This window comes from Homo sapiens, chromosome 3, assembly GCF_000001405.40.
Source record: "Homo sapiens chromosome 3, GRCh38.p14 Primary Assembly".
Lineage (NCBI taxonomy): Eukaryota > Metazoa > Chordata > Mammalia > Primates > Hominidae > Homo > Homo sapiens.
The window spans coordinates 149,801,941-149,824,466 of record NC_000003.12 but is presented as its reverse complement, the minus strand read 5'-3'; the positions used below and the strand labels follow the sequence as shown (position 1 = coordinate 149,824,466).

The 22,526-nt window shown below is 37.4% G+C and overlaps 1 protein-coding gene across 16 annotated transcripts in view, besides 4 other annotated features; it reads right to left on the bottom strand.

Annotated features, from left to right (window-relative positions):
• The window catches only part of RNF13 (ring finger protein 13), a 149,452-nt gene extending 137,673 nt beyond the window's left edge, over nucleotides 1-11,779 (bottom strand). For 4 of the 16 annotated variants that reach the window (NR_165474.1, NM_001378290.1, NM_183381.3 and 1 more), the window contains exon 1: nucleotides 11,114-11,252. The gene's annotated coding sequence lies outside the window, so the exon portion shown is untranslated. Of the gene's footprint in view, nucleotides 1-1,893; nucleotides 7,181-10,135; nucleotides 10,543-10,980 lie in introns of those variants that run through there. The other 12 variants (NM_001378288.1, XM_047447379.1, NM_001378289.1 and 9 more) reach the window with 10 other exon arrangements.
• Nucleotides 11,384-11,895: an enhancer, noted in NCBI's record as "H3K27ac-H3K4me1 hESC enhancer chr3:149530359-149530870 (GRCh37/hg19 assembly coordinates)". NCBI's record gives its function as "activates a minimal SCP1, AML or CMV promoter by ChIP-STARR-seq in primed H9 embryonic stem cells {active_cell/tissue: H9 hESC(primed)}" and the evidence as "EXISTENCE:reporter gene assay evidence [ECO:0000049][PMID:30033119]".
• Nucleotides 11,409-11,518: an enhancer, noted in NCBI's record as "active region_20683". NCBI's record gives its function as "activates an Ori minimal core promoter by ATAC-STARR-seq in GM12878 lymphoblastoid cells {active_cell/tissue: GM12878}" and the evidence as "EXISTENCE:reporter gene assay evidence [ECO:0000049][PMID:35858748]".
• Nucleotides 11,729-11,878: a silencer, noted in NCBI's record as "silent region_14808". NCBI's record gives its function as "represses an Ori minimal core promoter by ATAC-STARR-seq in GM12878 lymphoblastoid cells {active_cell/tissue: GM12878}" and the evidence as "EXISTENCE:reporter gene assay evidence [ECO:0000049][PMID:35858748]".
• Nucleotides 15,971-16,265: an enhancer, noted in NCBI's record as "tiled region #5490; K562 Activating DNase matched - State 12:CtcfO". NCBI's record gives its function as "activates a minimal TATA promoter and a strong SV40 promoter by Sharpr-MPRA in K562 cells {active_cell/tissue: K562}" and the evidence as "EXISTENCE:reporter gene assay evidence [ECO:0000049][PMID:27701403]".

The following is a 22,526-nucleotide window of genomic DNA, read 5'->3' as shown; positions in this document are numbered from 1 at the left end:
GCAATGGCAGATTAATTCCTTCTTATAGCACATTATTCCAAACTCCTCTTCTGCCTCCCTCTTCCATTTTTAAGGACACTTGTGATTACACTGGGCCCACACAGATAATCTTCCCAACCCGAGGTCCTTAATCACATCTGCAAAGTTCCTTTTCTCATACAAGGTAACATATTCACAGATTCCAAGTATTATGATATGGACATCTTTGGGCAGTCATTATTCTGCCTACCACGGTAATTATCACATTTCTTGGCAACATTCTAATTTATTCATTTACTTATTTATATCAGTGTGGAATCACAGATTACTGTTTTATTCAATGGGTTATAATCTGCTATTGTATTATCATTTTGATGTCCAATTGTTTGGCCAATGGAGGCTTATTCAAGCTAGCTTTTGTGTCTTTTTGATATGTTCCCAACATTCTTGAGCACCTCCTTGTTTTCTGGCACAAGATTTTCCAGTCCTGCCTTGTACTTTTCCTGCCCCAGCCCTGAAATCAGCCATTTCTTTAAAGAGAATATTGTTGTTTATAGGAATATACAGCATCAGAGAAACAACTTTCTCTCAAATAACAAAAAACATAAAGGTCTTTGTATTGTTTTTACAACTTTAACTCCGTAGCTACTTCAAAATTTTAACATGTTATTTTATTTTAATAATATAATGTCTTCCAAAGTTCAAAGTAATCACTTGTATCATATTGTATTATGATTTGTATGCTTTTTTACTTGAAATTATAACAAAGATTTTCCCTTGTTGTTCAAACTCTTCATAACCACTATGTTAACAGCTACTTTGTACTGCTTTATATGGCTGACACATGACTTTGTCTATTTTCTTGCTGTACAACATTGAATTGAACTCTTACTATTACAAATAATTTTCCAATGAATATAAATCTTTCCATACTTCTGATTATCTTCTTGGGATAGATTCCTTGACATGGAATCACTACACCAAAGAAACATTTTAAGACTTCATACATATTGCCCAATTGCTTTCCAGAAAAGAACATTCCTATTTATATTTCCAAATAAATGTGCATTTCATTGTATCGATTCTCCTTTTTTGGTCTTTTGTTGGTGTTAGGTGAAATTATAAATGACAAAAATAGCTAATATTTATCAAATGCTTACTACATATCTGGCTAAGTCCTTAATATACATTATTTATTTTAATCCTCACAACTCTATAGTAGGTTCCACTGTCTTTCCATAAATATAGGAATAAAAACTTAGATCAACAGCATAAAGTGCTTAAAACAGTGCCTAACACACAGCAAGCACTTTATAAATATTTCCTCTTATTTTTAAGTGTTTTAAGTGTTCAGTTACTTGCCCAGTAATACTTACCTCTTAAATAGTGAAGCTAGGATTCAATTAAAAGTCTGTGTCATGAAATACTGCCCTTCCCAAATCATCCAAGTATTGCATAAATTTGCATTTCTTTAATTACTTATGAGGTTGAAATTGTTCACATTTCTATTCATAATGAAATTTTAAGGCTATTTGGAAACTTCAAGAAAAAACAGAAAAACTAATGTATATTAATGGTAATTTACATATTCAAATTAGCTTCTGTTCTAATTTTATCTTTATTATTCATGGATCTCTGTACCAGACTCTGCGATAAATATGGTTTATCCCTGAGGCTTTCTGTGTAACATCAAAATTAAGTTGCAAAATAATTGTAACTTTGAAAATGAATTACGTATTGACACTTCTCTCCAAACCTAAAGAAAATGAAATGATCTACCTTCTTTAATAATGACCAAATATATGTAACGTGATACCAGAAATGGAATAGCCCAAGTATAGTAAGATAATAGTTCAACACTATGCTAAAAACATATTTCATAGTTTTCACATTCAGGGAAATCAGACATCTTACAGATCAAGTTCTTTAGTGTTCCACTTTCCACTTTCTTATTTACCCACGTGATTCAGCTTGCACATGGAAAAAAGAAAGTAAATGACTGTTAAAGGCAATAAATGTTACACACAAAATCCATTGTGTTTCTACATACCAGCAATGAACTATCCAAAAATTAAATTAAGAAAAACTTCCATGTATAATAGTATCCAAATGAATACAATACCCAGGAATAAATATAACAAAGGAGGTGAGAGACTTGTACACCGAAAACTATAAAACACAAAAACAATGCTGAAGGATATCAAACACACATCCAGGTACTCAAAGACTTAACATTATTAAGATGGCAATACTACCCAAAGCAATCTACAGATTCAATATATTACCTATCAAAATTTCTATGGCCTTTTATGCAGAAATGGAAAAGCTGATTCTCAAATTCATATGGAATTGCAAGGGGCCCTAAACAGGCCAAACAATTTTTAAAAAGAAGAACAAAGCTGGAGAACTCACATTTCCCAATTTCAAAACCTTACCACAAAGCTACAGTAATCAAAACAACATGGCACTGGCATAGTGATAGATATATAGACCAAAGGAGTAGAATTGAGCATCCAAAAATAAACTGATACATCTATAGCCAATTGATTTTAAAGATGCCAAAGACCATTCAATGGCAAAAGAACAGTGTCTTCAACAAGTGGTGCCGGGACAACTATTCACATGCAAGACAATGAAGTTGGAATTTATACCATATACAACAATTAACACAAAATGAATCAGTGACCTAAATATAAGGAGTAAAATTATAAAACTCTTGGAAGAAAACATAGGGTTAATCTTCATGGCCTGGGATTTGGAAATGGATTCTTGATATGACACCAAAAGCATGGGTCAAATAAATAAAATGGACTTCATCAAAATTCAAAACATTTATCTATCAAAGGACATTATCAAAAAATTGAAAAAAAAAATCCACATAATGGAAGAAAACATTTGCACATTATATATTTGATAATGAACAGTCTAGTATCTGGAGTATATAAAAACACAACTCAATACAAAAACACCAACAATGTAGTTTTTTAAAAGGGCAAAGAACTTGAATAGACATTTCTCTAAAGCAGATACACACATGGCCAACAAGCACATGAAAAGATGCTTAAAATCATTAGTAATCTGGGAAACGCAAATCAAAACCACAGTGAGATACCACTTCATACCCATAAGGATGGCAATTATAATTTCTTAAAAACAGAAAATAAGTGTAGGCAAGGATGTAGGGAAATTGGAACCCTCACACATTGCCAGTGGGAATGTAAAATGGTTTAGCTACTGTGGAAAGCAGTTTGGCAGGTCCTCAAAAAGCTAAACAAAATTACCATAAGACCCAGCATTCCATTCTTGGTATATACCCGAAAAAGTGAAAACAGGTTCTCAAATAAATCCTTGGACACAAATATTCACAGCAACATATTCATAATAACTAAAAGGTGGAAACAACCCAAATATCCATCGATGGATAAATGGATAAACAAACTGATATATAGACATGGAAAGGAATATTCTTCTGACATGGAAAGGAATATTCTTCTGCTATGAAAAGGAAAGAAGTACTGATATATGCTACATGTGGGTAAACCTTGAAAACATTTTGCTAAGTGAAAGAAGCCAGGGATAAAAACTCAAATATTGAAAATTCAATTTATATAAAATATCCAGAATAAGTAAATCCATAAAAACAGAAAACAGATGTGGTTGCCATGAGCTAGGGGCATCAGGGAATGACTGCTTAATAGGTATGAGATTTTACTTCAAAGTGATAAAAATGTTTTGAAACTAGACAGAAGTGATGGTTGCACAACACTGCAAAGGTACTAAATGCCACTGAACTATTGCTTTAAAATGGTTAATTACGTGAATTTTTACCTCAATTTTTTTTCCAAAAAAAGCAATTAACATTTATAATCCATGTTGGATAAATGTGGAAATTATAAGCAGCTCTTCCTCTTTGAGGGTCAAAAGAGTAAATGACAAACATAGTAAGTATGCAAATAAAGTATTCTTCAACATTTAATGAGGTGTTTCACATCTAAATAAAGTAGATGTTTCTCCCTCATGACTTCATTCAGAAATATTCATTTATCACCAGCTCCTCACTAGGATTATTTCCCGGTGGAAATTCATTCCCTCTATAAAGTTTACCTGGATATTTCTATCATTAGAAACAGAGCCCGGGCAGGGAGTGGTGACTCACGCCTGTAATCCCAGCACTTTGGGAAGCTGAGGAGGGAGGATTGCTTGGGGCCAGGAGTTTGAGACCATACCAGGTGACAGAAAAAGACGGTCTCTTTAAAAAAACAAAAAAAAAAGAAAGAAAGAAACTGAGCCTGAACTACATTCACTTTCAATCAATTCAAGGTCAACGTATTTCTAACTCCTTAAAAATGATTCTAAGCCAAATTCTTGTAGCTGACCAAGAGCTCTCTTACATCAAAGCGCAAAACATCCCAAAATTTCAGTTTTCTTTTCAGTTTACATTAATGTGGCAATAAACATTTAAATGTTTTAATGTCTGAATATTTCATAATTATTAATATTTAATAATTATTAACTCTATAACCACAAAATTGACAATGTTCCTCAGACTTTATTTCAAAGTTAAAAAGACTGATTTCCTCAGGAAGATCTACATCGTTGAAACAACTAGAAATAACAAATACCTTCCTCAGGGAACACCTTCTCTTAAAAGGAATATAAAGGTAGATATAAAAATGCCTGATTATGTTACTGCCTGCATAAAATTCCTTAACAGATTAAGCAGTTTTCAGAATACAGCTCAGAACTAAACTGTGGTTTAGCACAAAGTTCTTCATAAACTGGCTCGTCTCTGTATATTTAGCTTAGTCCCTTGCCATTCCTCCAGTCTTTTTCTCTGTAACCATGAGCACTTTCTCTTCTCCCAGACTCTCATTATATGCTTCTCTATGCCACCAAAATGCAACACAACTAAATGGTCTGTCACTCCCATTATTCCTTAAGCTCCTTAAAGTTAGGAGCTATACATTTTCTAATTCTGTATACAATACCTAGCATCTAGCACAATATCAGAGGCAAGTGACTGTTGTATAAATTAAAGTATGAAAGTGAGTATTATGATCCATTATTAAGGTCTAAAATACTATGGCTTATTTTTCCTTTACATAATGGCAATGGGGGAAACTATATATTAGGTAATATTTTGCTCTATTTTAAAAAATTACAATGTAATCTTACCGGTAAATAGCATCAACAAATTTTGTAGACATCTTTTCTTAAACATTAGTTTATTAACTAAGAGTATATATTTAGCTTGATGCTTATTCAATGGAAGCTCATGCTTGGCTCTATATTATCTACGTTAGTGAAGTGAAACATTAGTGCAAGAGATATTTTACAAGAAGTCGTAAAAACAGATTTTAACTGGACAATTCCAACTACTTCATTTACAGGTGAGGAAATGAACTGAGAGGTTAAGATATTTATGCAAAATCACCCAGCTAATTAGTGGGAATGTTGGGTGACACCCAGACTCCCATAATGTTGATGCTTTCAGCTACAATATAACTTTATTCCTATTCCAACCTCATAGATAAGCCAGGGGATTCTCTTTTTATTTTTATCTTATTTTATTTTTTTGAGACAGAGTCACGCTCTGTCACCCAGGCTGGAGTACAGTGCCGCGGTCTTGGCTCACTGCAACCTCCGCCTCCCAGGTACAAGCAATTCTCCTGCCTCAGCCTCTCAAGTAACTGGGATTACATGAGCACGCCACCACATCTGGCTAATTTCTGTATTTTAGTACAAATGGGGTTTTACCATGTTGCCCAGGCTGGCCTCGAACTCTGGTCTCAAGTGATCTGCCCACCTCAGCCTCCCAAAGTGCTGGGATTACAGACATGAGCCACAGTGCCCAGCCGGATTCTCTTCTTCTCACCCTCAATCTAGGGGGTATATGGGTCCTTAATACATGCCACATTTAACTGACTCCTTTAATCTTTAAGATGTAGCCTCTGCCTTAACACCTTCTCCCTGTAATAAACATTTGATGAGTACCTACGTTTGTTGAGCATTAAACACATCTAAGCCATTCCACTGGGAGGAAGGGGAAAAGGGAGAGACAAATGCGAATAAGAAAGACATGGTCCCTTCCTTCAAATGCTCTGCAAAATTAGTTACAATCTGGTATAGTATTCATTATTACCATCTGCTTAAATAGGTACAAATACATAGTACGAGAAAAATCTAATTACCGTCTATTATGAAAATGCACCTTATTTCTCCCATTAGCAGATAAGCTCCATGCAGGCAAGGATTTTTCTCTTTAGAACAGTGCCTGACAAAGAAGGTACTCAACAAATATTTGAGTGAATAAATGCTACAGAAAAACCCCTAAGTAGTAGGATCCAAGTAATGTTTCCAAAAATGGTATGACAAGAAAAGTAAACCTTCTTCTCATGCTCAACAACATTTTTCTGTTGGTTTACTGAGAACTTGACAGGAAACTGAAAATAGTTGAGATGGATATATTTTACTACTTAATTCAACATCATGCTCTACCCAATTGTACCAAACCCTAGAAAACCTTCCAAGAAAGGAAACCTACAGTCCTTCTATGACTTAGTCCTGAGCCCTTTTTCAAGTACAAAGGGTCTCCAGATGTTTTCCTTTTTTTCTTATAATAGGTTCTGGGATCTCTGTGTTTGCCCCCCACTTGTGAAGATAATAATACTGGTAACAAAAACATCTCAATTACTATCTATCATGTACCAGACCCTTTTCATATATTAACTCAGTATTTCAAAACAACTCTCAGAATTGGTATTGTCATCAACATGGTTTTACAGAATGGGAAAAATGGTAAGCCTCTTATCCTTTGAGTGTCTTCTTCCACAATCCTGGCTATAAGTAAAATACAATCTCATTAGCTGCACCCTGACTTTCATTGTTGCCCCCCATAACAAGCACACAGAGTCTCTGATTCTAAAGGTTTTGCTATTAACCAATTCAAGGTAACAAAGACAGGATAATAAAAATAACAAATCTGGAGATGTTCAAATGTTCAACAATTCAGCATTCAACATATGTTTATAAATGCCTGGTACCACACAAAAATCAGACTCTCAAAATTCTTACGGTGAGAATCCCTAGCCTCCAATTTACTAGCTATTTTTTGAATAAATGGGAGCCTTGCTAGGTCTAAAAGTTTTTCCTCCCCACTACCTTACCTCCTGATCTCCCAGGACACGAATCAAAATACACTAAAGGGAAAAATAATGGGTGCATCTTCATTGAGAAATCTGTACTTGTGAGTAATTTAAGGAGTCACATCCCTCTTGTGAAACTCTGACCCACAGAGGAGTGGTTACTTTTAGGTCATTTCCTTACAATGTAAGCATTTGTTCTCTTCCCTTTTCATAGAATACACAGAACTTCCAGTTTTCATTCTACATTTCCAAACGTCTGAACAACTCCTCAGCTCCAAAAGTAAACTCCCTATCATCCTCTCTCCTCCTAAATCTCCTTCCACCAAAACCTGTTCTTCATGATAATATCCTTATTTCTGTTAATAACATCACTATCCTCCCAAAAATTTGTCCTAGGCCTATACTCTGGTCAGTTCCCAGTGTCAATGTCATTATAATGTCAACATCTTTCAAATCTATACCTTCACTACGATCATCACTTCTTGCCTCAACTACTATAATTAAATTGCATGGTATTCCTACTTCTAGGCTTCCACTCTTCCATTGGACCTGTTCACAAATTATTATCCATAAAGAGAGTTTCTTCTTAACTAAAAATCATATATAAAATCTTTAGTCTGACATTTAAGAATCTCCATAATCTGTATCCATCTATCTTTACCAGTCTGGTCCTTAAACATATATCCTTACCAAATGTATTCTGCTTTTCCTATCTCTATACCTTTGCTTGGGCAGTGTCCTTATGTGGAACTTTTTTTTTTCCACCCTCCTTCAACTGCTAACAATCTTTCAAATGACCTCATCCTCAATGAAAAAAAAAAAAAGGCTAAGGCATATAATTTACTAAACATATACGCCATCTGATTGCTTCACAAATTATCTGAATCCCCACAAAAACAAGTAAGGAAGGAGTTAAGGAAATTGAGGAGGAGCTTCCCCAAGGTCACCAGCAAGTACGAATCCACAATAGCCCCACAGCATTCCATATTTTTTAATGAAATAAGACACAAAAGAGACAGACGTTCTGTAGTCAGAATACCTGTGATCAAATTCCAGCTACTCCACCAGCTACTTGTGTGAACTCAGAAGTTATGTATCTGTGATGCCTTAATTCCCCCACTTCCCACTTAGAAAATGGGGATAAGACAGGCATGATGTATCACACCTGTAATCCCAGCATTTTGGAAGGCTGAAGCAGGTGGATGACTTGAACCCTAAAGTTTCATACCAGACTGAGCAACATAATGAGACCTTGTCTCTACAAAAAAAAAAAAAAAATTTAATTAGCCAGGCATGGGGGTTTATGACTGTAGTCCCAGCTACTTGTCGGGCTAAGATAGGAGGATCCCTTGAGCACGGGAGGTCGAGGGTGCAGTGAGCCATAATTGCTCCAGCCTGGGCAACAGAGCAAGACCCTGTCCCAAAAAAAAATAAAAAGGAAACAACTTACTATCTACCACATCAATGACTGTAAGAACCACCTGAGATATTATAAAGCACTTAGAATTGTATTTGGCTCATATTAACCAATCAATATTAGCTACATTACTGTTTTGTTGTTGTTGATATACTATGCTATATAAACTTTGACAATACCAATCATATGCTGTGTTGTTCCCAAATCAACTTTTGTGTAATGTAAAAGATTCATAAAAGTTTAATATTTTACTTTTATATATGCTCAATAAATATCTATAGAATACATACATTTTTGAACAATGACTCACCAGTATGCTTTATTAAAAGGAATTCGCTTCTAATTTTGTTTCCTCTTTTGGGAAAAGTAACAATGCTTACCAACTTTCTTCCCCTTTTTATGTCATGTGAAACTATCATATGCAATGCCATATGGTAAACATGACAAATGGTGCAAAACACTGTTTTGACTGAAACTCATTTGCCTCCTGCTAAACATCAATTCCCAGATTTAAAAATATTGTTATTTAAATGCCAACCATTTCTAGGTCACACCTACATGAAGTAAGCAAAACATACCATGATAGTTGACCAAACTATTTCATTTCATACATCTCTTATGGCAAGAACTATAAGGCATAAAATGCCTTCCTAGCCAACTTAACTCAAAGACATAAATCTATCCCTTTAGTCATACCCTCAGGCCTACCCTCACTTAGCTAAAGTTAGTGCCTGTAAAAGTTCTGATAAATCTACGTTATTCTGGAATGCAGAAAAATATCAAGGGAAGAAAGCTGAATGCTAGCAACAATTTATGCCCCTCCAAAATTATTGAGAAAATTAGCTTTATACAAGCATAGATGAGAACTTATCCCAAACCCTTCAGTATTATACCTCTCAAACCAAGATTCTGTCTATGATTTGCATTACACATAGAGACAAGATGTCAAGCTGCCTAGCTTCAAACAAAGGCAGAGGTTAAAAAAAAAAAAACTAATAAAACAGTTCTCATTCCCTACATAGAGAAAAATAACTGTGCCTCTCTCCAACAGTTTCCAACAAAACAAAAAAAAATTATGTAATAGACAAATTTTGTTTCATTTAATCCTCATAACAACTCATTTCTTATTTACGGAAAATGTCACAGAATTAGTAAATGGCAGAGCTGAACCCAGCTTGACTCCCAAATTTGGAATTTAGTATTTTGAAACATTTGTTTTTGCCATAATCCATAATACACTTTACATTTCCATCTTCCTCTTGACACACACATACTGTTAAAAACTGAAACAAAAGCTTCTTGCCATAATATTTACTTTTATTCCATACAATGTCCTCTGGTATTTTTTCTTTCTTTATAAAGCTTATGTCAATGTACTAAATTGATTCTAAAATCTATTAATGAATCCTTATGGGCCCTGCACTACAGCACTGCACTACACTTCCTGCACTACAGCACTGCACTACACTTCTTACCTCCTGTTTAAAGTTCTTTTTAATTGCTATCACTGTCCAGTTTTGTTACTTCGAGATGGAGCTAATGTCCACCCATTAAAAAACTGTGCTTAAATAGCATAAACTCTTGAAAGCCCTACCTTAAATCTTGAATTGATCTGTTTCTCCAGAAGAACTCTTTGGAGGCACAGCCACCTTACTTATTTATATTGTATCAAAAACTGCAGATGTTCTCCTTGGAGAACAAACACATCATTGTTGAAAGGAATGCATCAGTTTTCACTGTTTCTGCTGCATCACTGACGAACAGTAATAGCCGGGCAGGTTTGGGGCAACAAGAGAGGACCCGAGCAGCTGCCCACGGTGCTGAAACTGATGATGAAACGACAGTTTTGGAAATTTACTATTTACTATTGTCAGATTAGGACAAAATAGAGGAATTTACCAGACACTGGCAGAGAAAACTGAGTGGCCGCCACCAAAGTTGCATGAGTGCTTCCGGGATACTGCTGTTTGGCTTCGATGTCTGCCCACTCTCTCTTTCTCTCTGGGACAAAGTTATTTAATAAGTGCAAGTCAAGTCAAGTCAAGCATACAGGCAGAGCTGCTGACTGACCGTAGTATCTGGCCCTAGCAGGGGTTAAGTCCCAAACCTGCAATCTGAGCTTCCAGGGAAAGAAAAAGGGGGTGGGGGTAAAAGAGAGGAAGTGACTGCCCTCCTTCTATTCAGAGACAAAACAGCCCCCTCAACTAAAGTCAAGCGATGTGCCCGAGGACGTTGCGGCAGGTACTTGACCAAGAAAAGCCTTCCAAACATGTTTTCCAGGCAGGCTCTTGCAGCCTCAAGAAGGGAATGAGAGAAGCAAAACCGGTAACTCAACTTTGGACACACACAAACTCGCGGAATGAGAGTGCAGGGGAGACTCGGTCCCCCGAGGGCAAGGCTATTTTATTCCTTTTGCAAAAAGCCTAATTGACTTCTCACCCAGCTCTAGAGGAGCAGCAAAGACCTCAGCAGCAGGGCCGACTCCGAGCTCGAGGGCCAACAAGCGGGGTATGTTCTCTGGGCCGCTCGATAACGAGCTGCCCGGCTGCCGCGAAGCCGGACAGGGTCTTACCTTGAAGTCCGGCCCCCGCAACACAAACAGTCTTGCCAGCCGCGTCGCTGCGGGAGAAGTCCCTACCCTGATTTCATGACTGAATATCCGCACCGACCCCCACAGCCCGGAGTACTAGCAGGGACGACAACACCTAGGCGAAGCGGAAGTCCCGCCCCACGCGCCTCATTGGTCCGCACCCAAAGGCACAGAAAACCCACTGGGCAACATGGTTGCCTGTTAAGGCTCTTTCCCACTCTCACGCGGAGTCTCGCTACTTGCTCTAGCCCGGCTCGGAGAAATGCCCAGTTTGCGAGTCTCGTTCTTGGCCGCGTGATCCGTCTTCCCTGGAAGGGAAGAGCAGGGTGGGGCAGGCGTCTGCGGAACTGGAGCGCGGCTGAAGAAGCTGCTCTTGGCAGAGGAAGGGGCAGGCTGGCAAAGTGGATTGGCTGTGGGCGCCTGCCGCTAACCATGTGCCCCTAGAAACGGAGACCGTAGGGTCTGGAGGGCGCGGGACCGAGCGGGCAGGGCCGGTCGGTCTGATCTGCTCCGGCTGTTGGGACAGAGTAGCCCAAGATTCGGCTGCCGGGCTGCCCCCGGGCGGGCCTGGCCCTGGCGCTGACGCGTCTCTTCCCTGCACACTACACTCACCCGACCTACTAAAGAGGCGAGGGCGAGGCCTCATCCGCCCGCCTTCCGTACCGTGCCCAGTCTGAGATCAGAGTGGGTGGGGACCGTGGCCACACCTTAAAGTAGGGCTCAAATTGTTAGAGATGCGAGCGGCCCGAGGTCTGAACGCCAGTCCCCTGAGGCCTGGCTCGGATCCACGCTGGCATCAGCACTCTGGGCCTGACACGCGCCATCCCCGGGGCTTAGCAAAAGTCAAACCATGTGATTCAGGCCCTAGGTCAGCCTTTTAAAACCCTTGCCTCCTTTTGATGAACCAAAAATCTCCTCCCCTGCCGCCCTTCTGATAAGCCTTCCTTTCTGGTTGTCTCAATCTTAAACCAGTCGAAACTTAAATTACCGGATTGTACCATCCACATTGATTAATCATTGCCAACTCGCCACCTTACAAAAGCAGTGTGACTTAGGCAAATATTACAGAGTCCTGAAAGAAATGTCAGGAGACATAGAATCAGGCACTACTTCTGCTTCAAATAATAAGGCACCCTTAATAAGGCCTTTACAGGCTTCAACTCCTTCAACATCATCTTTTAAAAATGGTGGCGAGGAGGCTATCACACAGAGTATTAGTAGAATACCATTGGATGTAACTTGTCACTTTGATTGCTTGGAGAGCCCTGAGTAGGTGGGACACAGCAATGGGGAAAAGACTCTTTCCTTATTGTGTATCCTTTTGTGCCTTTTGAATTTTGAACCTTGCAAATATTACCTACTCAAATAAAATTCAAATACAAGAAATTTAAGATCAAATTTTAAAAAATTAAATAAAAGCTATCAAAGGTACTTTCCTCTTCTGTGTATCCTATGAGTATTCTATGTAGTCTTAACTTTTCATTGGTTGCAAAGACATTCAATACTTAAATCACAATTCTGCCTTTAAGAAAGTCATAAATAAAAGTCAGCATTGGGAATATTACTAAGAAGACTAATTAGTATAAACACATTTATAATATCTCTATAAGCATTTTTTTCATTAAATTATCCCAAATTGGTATATTAAATCAGATTTCTTGCATAACATCAAAATAAATTTTTTTAGGCCGGGTGCGGTGGCTCATGCCTGTAATCCCAGCACTTTGGGAGGCCAAGTCAGGCGGATCACTTGAGGTCAGGAGTTCAAGACCACACTGGCCAACATGGTGAAACCTCGTCTCTACTAAAAATACAAAATTAGCCGGGCATTGTGGTGCACACCTGTAATCCCAGCTACTTGGGAAGCTGAGGCAGGAGAATCGCTTGAACATGGGAGGCAGAGGTTACAGTGAGCTGAGATCCCACCACTGCACTCGGGCATAGGCAACAGAGCAAGATTCCATCTCCAAAAAAAAAAAAAAAAATTAAGTCCACAGAGAGGAGCTTTGGGTTTTGTTGTTTTATTTTTATTTATTTTAGAGACAAGGTCTCACTCTGTTGCCCAGGCTGGAGTGCAGTGGTGAGATCATGTCTCACTGCAGTCCAGAACTCCTGGGCTCAAGTAATCCTCCCACCTCAACCTCTGGAGTAGCTAGGATTACAGGCATGTGCCACCAGGCCTGGCTAATTTTTTTATTTTTTTTAGCCTTACAGTCTGGCTATGTTGCCCAGGCAGGTCTCAAACTCCTGGCCTCAAAGGATCTTCTTGCCTCGGTCTCCCAAAGTGCTAGGATTACAGGCATGAGTCACCACGCTCAGACAAAGAGCTTTGCTTATTCCTTAAAGGCACCTTGAGTACAGAATATTTTACTTCTGGTTTCAACCTGCTCTTCAGATAACAATAGGTATAGTTCTCTCAACTATGAACAAGGTAATGTGTCATTTGTACTGCATTTAGGCTACACTCTGCAAAAACATTTACTCTCCCAACCTGTGCTGAAAAAGGTAAATTGGAAAAAAATATATTGGAAAAATGTATTAATCTTTCTAAAGCAGATTAGACAGTAAGATTGACAGATATCATAATTACAATTTTCAAGAACATGAAGGGTTAATAAGGCACGTGATACTAATATACCACTAATTATCTTTTTAAAAATCAAAATGTGCTTTTAGGGTGTTGTATCTAACAGGTTTTTTTTTTAAACCTTCCTAAAAAGTACAAACAGATAGCACGTAAAAGTAATTGTAGAATCTCCTGCTTCCAAAATATTGTAAGGCAACAACAACAAAAAAAGACAGATACCCAATTATGTAATTGTCTGAAATGGCTTAGAAATAGTTCTCCCTAAATACCAGAAAGAATGCAGGCTGTCTCCTTAAGCACAGAGATTAATCAGAAACCTTAAACAATTCTATATATTATCATATTTAGAAACAGAAAAAAAGTAATTTTAGAATCAGAAAAAAGGTATTTTCATTTTGAAAACAAAATAAAATTATTACTATTAAAAGAAAGAATAAGATCCATAAAGAATTTATATGTGTATGAAATAAGCAATTTTGAAAAGTACCAAACAGAATTTCTACAAATAGCATCAGGGAACTTTTAGCCAAAGATTCTAAAAGATTCTAATTTCTTTGCCAAGTTCCAAATTAATGAATGGGTTCATTAAGTAAGATAAAAAGTGAAAAGTTCAGAACCTAAGGCGATACATATCAGTCAGAGGGTTTTTCAACAAAGTTTATCCAATTTATTTTCAAGGAGTTGAGAAAGATCAGGCAAAAAGAGGTGTGCTTAATGTTCAATGCCTTAAAAATGATCTAGTCATTGTTTTATGTGGGATGAGTTACTTCTCTGTATATCTGAGATGACCAACATGCAAATTCAACTTTTCCTTTGCACACTGAGAACCAGTTTTCCTCTGTTTGCTAACAAAGGAATTACAAAATAAGCATGCAAAAAGTCATATGACATAATGCAATATAAAGATGGAAGAAGTCATTGGGGTGTGAACTGACATAATCACATTAGCAAACAATTTGAAATTGTCTAGGGAGGGTGAAAAAGAAAATTTTCTATGACATAGCAATTCAATCCAAGGAATATACCCTAAAGAAACACAAAATAAATTCATATTTAGGCACATTGTAATAAAATTTAAAGAGGATCAAAGAAAAATAAAACGTTTTAAACAAACAAAAAAAGATAAAATACTTACAAAGGAGTGACAGCTGATAGCTGAGTTGTTTTTTTTTTTTCCCGAGATGGAGTCTTGCTCTGTCGCCCAGGCTGGAGTGCGGTGGTGCGATCTCGGCTCACTGCAAGCTCCGCCTCCCGGCTTCATGCCATTCTCCTGCCTCAGCCTCCCGAGTAGCTGGGACTACAGGCACCCGCCACCATGCCCGGCTAATTTTTTGTATTTTTAGTAGAGACGGGGTTTCACCGTGTTAGCCAGGATGGTCTCGATCTCCTGACCTCGTGATCCTCCTGCCTCAGCCTCCCAAAGTGCTTGGATTACAGGCCTGAGCCACCGCACCCGGCCCAGACTTCTTAGTAGCTACAAAAGAAACTAAAAGTGAGTTAAATAATATCTTCAAATGCTAAAATAAAATAGTTACAACTGTCAGTTTAGAATTATATGCCTAGTTAAGCTGTCATTTAAGAGTGAGGGCAAAATAAAGACATTTTTAGGGAAAATCAGCTTTTACCACTAACAGACTTCTACTAACAGAACTTGTAAAGAATATCTTTAGAAAAATGAAAATCAAACCCAGAAAAAAGAGATGCAAAAAAAAGTATGGAGACCAAAGATATTGAGTATGATTTCCAAACCAGTAGACATAAAAAGGGAATAAAGGAATAAAGAAAACAATATGCAATATAAAGCAGAAAAGGAGAGATGGGAAGAAGCAAATAAAAGGTATTTTAAATGGCAAATTCAAAATGAGATGGAATAAGTGACATCAGCAAGATGGTGAAATAGGAGCTCTTTACTGTCATTGCCCTGCAGAAGCATCCATTTTGAAAACTACCTCCAGATGAGAGTACTTTTGTGGAAGTCCAGGAGTCCAGTGGAGAAGTTCCAGCAAACTGTTGAAGTTTTTTGAGGCCAGGAATTTGAGACCAGACTGGCCAACATGGTGAAACCCTGTCTCTACTAAAAACACAAAAATATTAACTGGGTGTAGTGACGCACACCTGTAATCCCAGCTGTTCAGAAGGCTGAGGCAGGAGAATCGCTTGAACCCAGGAGGCAGAAGTTTCAGTGGGCCAAGATAGTACCACTGCACTCCAGCCTGGGGGACACAGCAAGACTCTGTCTCAAAAATAAAATAAAAAATAAAAATTTTCATAACAGATAAATTGAAGTGGCTAAGAATAGTTTTGCTTTTCCTGCATCACTGCCTCCACTAGGTGGCAGAGCTCAGTGCCAAGAGAGACCTCCCTTGGCCAGCGATTTCACCCACAGGAAAAGTGAGAGCTTAGTGAGTGAGCTCATGTCTCTCCCAGCCATGTGGAACACTGTCCATGAGACCCATAGCCGAAAACAATTATCAAAATGGCAATAGTAAGTCCTTACCTATCAATAATTACTCTGAATGGGAAATGGATTTAATTCTCCAATCAAGACATAGAGTAGCTGAATGGATTTTAAAAAAAACAGACCCAGTTACATGCTCCCTATAATAAACTCACATCAGCTTTAGGGACATACACAGGCTTAAAGTGTGGAGATGGAAAAAGATATTCCATGCAAATAAAAAACAGAAAAAGAGCAGGGATTGCTACTCTTGTATCACACAAAATAAACTTTAAGTGAAAAGCCATAAAAAGAAACAAATAAGCATTATATAATGTTTAAAAAAAAAAAGTCAATTCATTAAGAGGCTGTAAGAGGCCGGGCGCGGTGGCTCACGCCTGTAATCCCAGCACTTTGGGAGGCCGAGGTGGGCAGATCACTTGAGGTCAGGAGTTTGAGATAAGCTTGACCAACATGGTGAAACCCCGTCTCTACCAAAAATACAAAAATTAGCCCAGTGAGGTAGCGTGCATCTGTAGTCCCAGCTACTCAGGAGGCTAAGGCAGGAGAACTGCTTGAACCCGGGAGGCGGAGGTTGCAGTGAGCTGAGACTGTACCACTGCTCTCCAGCCTGGGAGACAGAGACTTTGTCCCAAAAAAAAAAAAAAAAAAAAAAAAGAATAAAAGAAAAAGAAAAAGAAAAAAAAAAAGAAGCTATAAGAATTGTAAATATATGTTCCCAGGTGAGAAACAGTAATAGAACAACAAGAGGAGACTTCAATACCCCACTTTCAACAATGGATAGATCATCCAGACCAAAAATCAATAAGGAAATAGTAGATTTGGACTACACTTTGGCCAACTGGACCTAACGCACATATATAGAGCATTTTATCCAACAGCAACAGAATATACATTCTTCTTAAGTACACATGGAACATTCTCCACAATTGATCATGTTAGGCCACGGATTGAAATCATACCAAGTATCTTTTCTTGACACAATGGCACGAAATTAGAAATCAGTGAGGAGGAAAACTTGTGAAAATTAAACAACATACTCCTGAACAAGCAATGGGTCAAAAAAATCAATCAAAAGGAAAATAAGGAGACATCTTAAGATAACTAAAAATGGAAACACAACATACTAAAACACATGGAATGCAGCAAAAGAAAATCTAAAAGTAAATTTTATAGTGATAAACACCTACATAAAGAAAACATAAAGATCTCAAATAAACAACCTAACATTACACCTCAAGGAACTAGAAAAAGAACAAAGCCCAATGTTATTAAAAACAAAGAAATAACAAAGATCAGAACAAAAATAAATCAAATAGACACTAGAAAAGCAATAGAAAAGATCAATGAAACTCAGAGATTTTTTTTCTGAAAAAATAACAAAATTGACAAACCTTAGCTAGACTAAGAAAAAAAGAAAGATAAAATCAGACATGAAAGAGAAGAGATTATAACTGATACCACAGAAATACAAAGCAGCCTAATAGAATACTATGAACAATTATAAGTCAACAAATTGTATAACCTAGAAGCAATGCATAAATTCCTAGAAATATACAACCTACCAAGACTGAATCACGAAGAAACAGAAAATCTAAACAGACCAATAACGAGGAAGGAGATTGAATCAGTAATCATAAATCTCTCATGACTTAATTAAACTAGAAAGCCACTGCACAGCAAAAGAAATAATCAACAGAATGAAGAGACAACCTGTTGAATGGGAGAAAGTATTTGCAAACTGTCCAACAGGGGACTAATATCCAGAATATACAAGGAACTCAATAGGAAAAAAAGAAAGAAACAAATAACTCAGTTAAACAGTGAGCAAGAGACACAAATAGATACTTCTCAAAAGAAGACATAAAAATAGCCAAAAGGTTTATGAAAAAAATGCTCAACACCACTAATCATCAGGGAAATGAAAATCAAAACCACAATGAGATATCATCTTACCTCAGTCAGAATGGCAATTGTTAAAAAGACAAAAAATAACAATTGTTAGTGGGCATGTGGAGAAAAGGGAACTCTTATATACTCTTGGTGAGAATGTAAACTTGTATAGCCACTATAGAAAACAGTATGGAGATTTCTCAAAAAAACTAAATGTTTGATCCAGCAATTTCACTGCTGAGTATCGACCCAAAGGAAAATATATCATTATAACAAAGGGATACCTGAACTTGTATGTTTATTGTAACACTATTCACAATACCAAAGATATGGAATCAACCTAAGTGCCCAACAATGGATGAATGGATAAAGAAAATATGTATACACAGTGGAATACTATTCAGCCATTCAAAAGAATGAAATCATATCATTTGTAACAAAGTGGATGAAACAGGAAGTCATTATCTTAAGTGAAATAAGCCAGGCACAGAAGAACAAATATCGCAAGTTCTCACTTATATGAAGGAGGTGAAATATCTGGACACATGGAGGGAGAGTGTAAAACCAGATCAAAGAGACTGGGAAGGATGAGTAGAGTAGGAAAGGAGGAGGTTAAAGAGAAGTGGGTTAAAGAGTACAAACATATGGTAAGATAGAAGAAATAAATTCAATGTTTGATTGCAGAGTAGGATGACTATACTTAACAAAAATGTATCATATTTTGGTGACAGACACCCTGAATACCCTGACTTCATCACTGCACATTACATACATGTAATAAAATAGCTCATGTACCCTATACATTTGCACAAATAAGAAAAAAATCCCATCAAAGAAAAGCCGAGGACCTGACTTCACTGGTGAATTCTACCAGACATTTAAAGAAGAATAAATATCAATCCTTCTCAAACTTTTCCAAAAAATAGAAAGGCAGGGAATACTTCCAAACTTATTTTATGAGGCCAGTCTCACCTTGATATCAAAGCCAGAGAAAGACATTACAAGAAAAGAAAATTACAGAACAATATTCCTGATTAACACGGATGCAAAAATCCTCAACAAAATACTAGCAAACCAAATTCAACAGCATATTAAAAGAACCATACACCACAATCAAGTGGGATTTATCCCGGAGATGCAAGGATGATTCAATATATGCAAGTCAATAAATGTGATACACTACATTAAAAGAATGAAGGCAGGTAGCGTGATGCCTCTAGCTTTGTTCTTTTGGCTTAGGATTGACTTGGCAATGCAGGCTCTTTTTTGGTTCCATATGAACTTTAAACTAGTTTTTTCCAATTCTGTGAAGAAAGTCATTGGTAGCTTGATGGGGATGGCATTGAATCTATAAATTACCTTGGGCAGTATGGCCATTTTCACGATATTGCTTCTTCCTACTCATGAGCATGGAATGTTCTTCCATTTGTTTGTATCCTCTTTTATTTCATTGAGCAGTGGTTTGTAGTTCTCCTTGAAGAGGTCCTTCACATCCCTTGTAAGTTGGATTCCTAGGTATTTTATTCTCTTTGAAGCAATTGTGAATGGGAGTTCACTCATGATTTGGCTCTCTGTTTGTCTGTTATTGGTGTATAAGAATGCTTGTGATTTTTGCACATTGATTTTGTATCCTGAGACTTTGCTGAAGTTGCTTATCAGCTTAAGGAGATTTTGGGCTGAGACGATGGGGTTTTCTAGATATACAATCATGTCATCTGCAAATAGGGACAATTTGACTTCCTCTTTTCCTAATTGAATGCCCTTTATTTCCTTCTCCTGCCTGATTGCCCTGGCCAGAGTAATCAAAACAGCATGGTACTGGTACCAAAACAGAGATATAGACCAATGGAACAGAACAGAGCCCTCAGAAATAATGCTGCATATCTACAACTGTCTGATCTTTGGCAAACCTGACAAAAACAAGCAATGGGGAAAGGATTCCCTATTTAATAAATGGTGCTGGGAAAACTGGCTAGCCATGTGTAGAAAGCCGAAACTGGATCCCTTCCTTACATCTTACACAAAAATTAATTCAAGATGGATTAAAGACTTAAATGTTAGACCTAAAACCATAAAAACCCTAGAAGAAAACCTAGGCAATACCATTCAGGACATAGGCATGGGCAAGGACTTCATGTCTAAAACACCAAAACAAATGGCAACAAAAGCCAAAATTGACAAATGGGATCTAATTAAACTAAAGAGCTTCTGCACAGCAAAAGAAACCATCATCAGAGTGAACAGGAAACCTACAGAATGGGAGAAAATTTTCGCAATCTACTCATCTGACAAAGGGCTAATATCCAGAATCTACAATGAACTCAAACAAATTTACAAGAAAAAAACCAACAACCCCATCACAAAGTGGGCAAAGGATATGAACAGACACTTCTCAAAAGAAGACATTTATGCAGCCAAAAAACACATGAAAAAATGCTCACCATCACTGGCCGTCAGAGAAATGCACATCAAAACCACAGTGAGATACCATCTCACACCAGCTAGAATGGTGATCATTAAAAAGTCAGGAAACAACAGGTGCTGGAGAGGATGTGGAGAAATAGGAACACTTTTACACTGTTGGTGGGACTGTAAACTAGTTCAACCATTGTGGAAGTCAGTGTGGCAATTCTTCAGGGATCTAGATCTAGAAATACCATTTGACCCAGCCATCCCATTACTGGGTATATACCCAAAGGATTATAAATCATGCTGCTATAAAGACACATGCACACATATGTTTATTGCGGCACTATTCACAATAGCAAAGACTTGGAACCAACCCAAATGTCCAACAATGATAGACTGGATTAAGAAAATGTGGCACATATACACCATGGAATACTATGCAGCCATAAAAAAGGATGAGTTCGTGTCCTTTGTAGTGACATCGATGAAGCTGGAAACCATCAATCTCAGCAAACTGTCGCAAGGACAAAAAACCAAACACCACATGTTCTCACTCATAGGTGGGAATTGAACAATGAGAACACATGGACACAGGAAGGGGAACATCACACACCGGGGACTATTGTGGGGTGGGGGGAGGGGGGAGGGATAGCATTAGGAGATATACCTAATGCTAAATGACGAGTTAATGGGTGCAGCACACTAACATGGCACATGTATACATATGTAACAAACCTGCACAATGTGCACATGTACCCTAAAACTTAAAGTATAATAATAATAAAATAAAAAAGAAAACCATAAAAAAAATAGAATAAAAAAAGAATGAAGGACAAAAATCATATGATCATCCCAATTGATACAGAAAAAAGCATTTAACAAAATTCAATATCCTTTTGTGATTAAAAAATCCACTCTTGACAAATTAGGTATAGAAGTAATATACCTCAATACAATATAAAGATCATATATGGCCAGCCCACAGCAACATCAAACTCAAGGGTGAAAAACCGAAAGCTTTTCCTCTAAAACAAGAACAAGACAAGGATGCCCACTGATACGGTTTGGCTCTGTGTCCCCACCCAAATCTCATCTTGAATTGTACTCCCATAATTGCCACATGTTGTGGGAGGGACCCGATGGGAGACAATTTGAATAATGGGGGCAGTTTCCCCATACTGCTCTCAAGACAGTAAATAAGTCTCGTGAAATCTGATGGTTTTATCAGGGATTTCTGCTTTTGTATCTTTCCCATTTTTCTCTTGCCACTGCCATGTAAGAAGTGTCTTTTGCCTCCCTCCATGATTCTGAGGCCTACCCAGCCATACGGAACTGTAAGTCCAATTAAACTTCTTTTTCTTCCCAGTCTCAGGTATGTCTTTATCAGCAGCACGTAAACCGACTAATACACCCACTCTCACCAATTATTTTCAATATATAATACTGGAAGTCCTAGTCAGAATAACTAGGCAACAAAATGAAATCTAAGACATACAAATTGGAAGGGACGAAGTAAAATTGTCTTTGTTTGCAGATGATATGATCTTACATATAGAAAACTCTAAAAACTACATCAAGAAACTGTTAGAACTAATAAATGAATTCAGTAAAGTTGCAGAATACAACATGAACATTTAAACGTTTGGTAGGATTTGTATACATTAACAATAAACTATCCAAGAAAAAAATTTAAAAATAATTCAATTTATTATAGTATCAAAAAGAATAAAATACTTAGAAAAGAATTTAACCAAGGAGGTAATAAAAGATCTGTACACTGGGATTAAGTGCAGTGTCTCATGCCTATAATCCCATCACTTTGAGAGGCTGAGGTAGGAAAACTGCTTGATAATTTACAGGAAGCCTCCTTTGCACCTTTCAAATAAAACTACTATACTAAATAAAATATATTTAAAGCTAGCCTTTAGCATATGTCAAGCAGGTTTTGAGAATCCTTGGTTCCTGCCTCACAGTTTTTTCCACACGGAACCCTTACAACGGTATCTGAAATGCCTACATTAATTCTTTTCTTTGGATCCAGAAAAAAG